The sequence below is a fragment of the Homo sapiens genome, chromosome 18, assembly GCF_000001405.40.
Source record: "Homo sapiens chromosome 18, GRCh38.p14 Primary Assembly".
Lineage (NCBI taxonomy): Eukaryota > Metazoa > Chordata > Mammalia > Primates > Hominidae > Homo > Homo sapiens.
In genome coordinates, this window is record NC_000018.10 from 38,412,894 (window position 1) to 38,416,899 (window position 4,006).

The following is a 4,006-nucleotide window of genomic DNA, read 5'->3' on the forward strand; positions in this document are numbered from 1 at the left end:
TGCAAAGTTGTACATGATACTTCTATCTATAACATCTTGTTATTCATTCTTATTTTTATTTTTTACCTTCAAAATAAAAATTCAAGAAACAAGCAGAGAAAGGCATAGGTAAAAGAAAAGAATAGGAAAGCCATATTATAATTTATCAAAAAGAGTATTCTCAGGACATATCTTTTAAACACAGACATCACAGTGAATGTGTATGTGTAAATGGTCCCAAGATAATATAGTTTCTTTACATTAAAAAAAAAGGATGGCAAGTTCAGAGAATGCAGAGTAGAAGGGCAGGGGATGAACCAGCATGTTCAGACTCCATGCCTGTGCAAACCTAAGCCAAACACATAATCTTTCTGAGTCCTTAATTCACCTGTTTATTTAAAATATGAATTTATGAAAGTACAACCATCCTCTCTTCTTCCTCACCAACTGAGCATGTATGTTCCTTGTTTCAAGTGTACCTAAAGAAAACTTGTTAGGCCACTTTAGGAACTGAAACCTACTGGTCAGTGCTTGACAACCAGAAAGCGTATGTTGAGGGCCAGAGAGTTTTGAATAACAAAGGAAAATTATTGGATCAGCCTCAGGGTAGTGACATTCAGTACAAGAAATTTTTTATGAATCCACTTTTTTAGCCCTGGTAGATAGGTTCTCGGGAAAGACTATCACCCATCATGTATTACCAACCATGTAATTAGCCAGGCAAGCAAATAAATTGAACTTCTTTAGGAAGGTAGTCTTTACATATGTGTTTACCTTTTATTTGTAGCAGAAGTTGACTGGTGCACAAGACAGGGCAGAAAAGGGGACTCCCAGCGCAGGCCTGAACTCTGGCCTCCATCAGCCGAATGAGCTCCTGCAATTAGCCACAGCCACACACTTTGGAAGGCAGTCTAGCCACCTGTTAAGTTTGGGCACATACTCCACAAGGGCTTCCCTTTTGTCTGTACACTCTTAGGATGCCTATCAAAATATCTTTTGAAATCCCATTCAGTCTTCTTCTTGGTAAATATAATTTTCCCCTTTGGTTACATTTATAGTGGTGATTTAGGGCCCTGTAGATAGACACCTGGGGCAAATAGCCCAAAGGCTGACTCCATCATCTTCTGCAGTTGGCAGTTTACACTGTGCCTGCCTTGGCTTCTTGCCTTGGCTCTGAAGCACAATCCTACTAACATGAGCATGATTTATAGGGGATCTCTCCTTAATAGGAGGGAGAATGCAATGTAATTGAGAGGACCCCGGACTGAGGGTCAGAGGATGTCGATTTGCTCCCAACCCTGGGGCAAATTAGCTTTGTGGCTGTTAAATCAGCTACGGCATCTACTCTTAGCCTCAGTTTCCTTATCTGTAAGGTGAGGGGGCTGGATGAGGGTTTAAGTCATCCGTGAGCTCTAGTTTACATCTTCCCATTGATGCAGCCTTTGCATATGCACCATGACTCCCATTGCACCGCTTGGTTACTACTTACCTATCCAAAGAAATAGAGAAGGAGAGGCTATGAATGCTTCTCACTCCCTAACTCACAGATAGTTTATAAAAATAAATGGTATACTGTTAAAAGCATATATGCTGTGAGTTAAGACAATGCGTGTTTAGCGTGTATGTGTATATACAGTACATTATATATGTCTATATATAAAGTATATATTTTTATAACATATATATGTTATATTATATATTTATATATGTATATGTTATATAATATGTAATTCTCATGTATAAATCTTCCTGATTATCTTTGTGATTTCTATTTGTGGATATAAGCCTAAAACAGCACTTCCATATTTGCAGCTGTGGTAAGTCCTTTGGCAGCAGAGGCTGAATATTTTGGGTTCAGTATCTAGAACAAGGACACTGATAGGATAGCAACAACTACCAGTCAATCTTGGTTTCTAAGGGAAAGCATTTATATACAAATGACTTTTAAACCATCCATTGTTTCTACAGAGAATTTTGAGGCGTTATGAATTTACCTTTATATACACTATAATGAATACTCCATAAAGGCAGGAATTATTATCCGTTCTATTGCCTATTCTGTCCTCATCCCCTAAAACAGTGCTTGGCACTTAGAAGAAGTTCCATGAATATTGCTGAAAGAATATAATTCAGATTAGAGAAGAGGGAAGTAAGTAGTGTAGGCATATGAATAAACTTCGACCCCACACTCCCCGTTTAGCTCAAGAGTAACCAGGTTGAAGCTTCCCTAACATGCCAGTTTCTACCATCTTCAATCAAGGGAACTCTGTTCTCCAGGGTCTGACATTTGTCTCCTGATCATCCACTTCCTCCCTGATGGGCTGCTGTGTGCTGTCCTCCCCTTCTGCTGAATGATGTCCTTTCTCTTAATGCAGATGTAGCAGAGATTTCCTCCATCACAAGGTGTCTACTTAGCTGAGTGAGGTATTGCAAGCTCAATCTGATGATCAAAATTTGAGAGCTCCATCCTCTTCATACTGCACAGATACTGTTGAAAGGAGAAATTAGAATACTGGCCAAGTTCTTCATTCTTTACAAAATCTATCCAGTTTTTTGTTTGGGTATTTTAATTTTTGGTATAGTTTTTCAGAACTATAATGAATTCTCTTAAAGATATTTAGGGATACTTTAACTGTGTGTTTTCCTCCTAAGTTGAATTTCAAGTTTCTAATTATGAACATGGCTTATAATAACCTGCATCTACATCATATACATTTTTTTCAGCACCTGATTGTATGCCAGCCCTTATAGTGTATGCCTCCCTCTGTTTTGTTTACTTGGGTAATGCTGATGGGCTATGTCTATCTTAGAGGGATAGGAAAGAGGATAGAAACTTCTGATCGACTTTTGGATATGAAAAGTCAGACAATCTCCACAGCCCCAGCAGCTTGGGGTGTACCCCGGTATGTGTGGCTCCTACATGATTTCTATCCCCGAGAGCCCTTCACGGGCAGACTGCTCCAGGACCTCGTGTGACTCCTACCCCAAGTCACGTGTGCTGCCCACCAGGCTCTGCTGGTGGGTCTTAGGAGCAGTGGGGTTCATCAGGACTGGATTCTGGTGGAATTTCAGCTCTGTGGTTTCTCTACCTAATGTCCCAGGCTTCCTGTGATATTTGAGTCCTCTTCTGAATCATATCCGAAGGCTGGATTCTTCAGAAGGTCTCCCTGTGCCATCCAGCACTTCTTCCTTCAAGTGGGTTCTGGAGTCAGGTGCTGTAGTATGAGTCAGGGCCTTGAAGCCACATCCACAGGGACTGAACTCTGCTTAGCTGTTTTCTCCTGAGGGATTTGGTGAGTTACTCAGGGTCTCTGTGCCTTAGTTTCTTCATTTGTAAAATGGTGTGCTCATAGTACCTCCCTCATAAGTGTGTTATGAGGGCAAAATAAAACTATAAGGCGCATGTAGGTCTTTTATAAATGTTATTAATAAACTAGTTCAAAAAGAAAGAAGGACCACCTTGCCCAATGCTTACAGTAGAAGGAATGTACGCCTGATCCTTGAGGAACGTGAGCTGGTTAAAGGATAATAAATGGTATACTATTTGCTGGAGAGAAAGGCCCCCAAACTGCACCTGCTCATCTACTACTTACTGAGATTGGAATTAACATTCTGCTTAATAGAGAATCTCTGGAAGTTCATGGGAGAACAATTTTTTAAACAAAATATAATAAAATTAATTTAAACAATTAAAATCTCCTGAGCACGATTTAAATCTCTGATGGCTCTGCAGTCACTATATGATGCCCAAGTTACTTCAGGGTCATTATTATGAACATTCTTACCACACACCTTTTTACATGACATATGCTCAATAAGTGTTTGTTGGTAGAATGGATAGATGCGAATGGACATCAATAACCATTGTATTATTGGAGATGGATAAAGTGCTAGCAAAGAGAATGTCAGATATTTCACTGCCTGGAATATTATCATGAAAAGCTCTTTGATTTCAAAGAACATCTTTTCTTTAGAGATGGTGAAGTGGTTTGCTTGGCATCACACAGCTAAGGCATAGCAGGGCAAG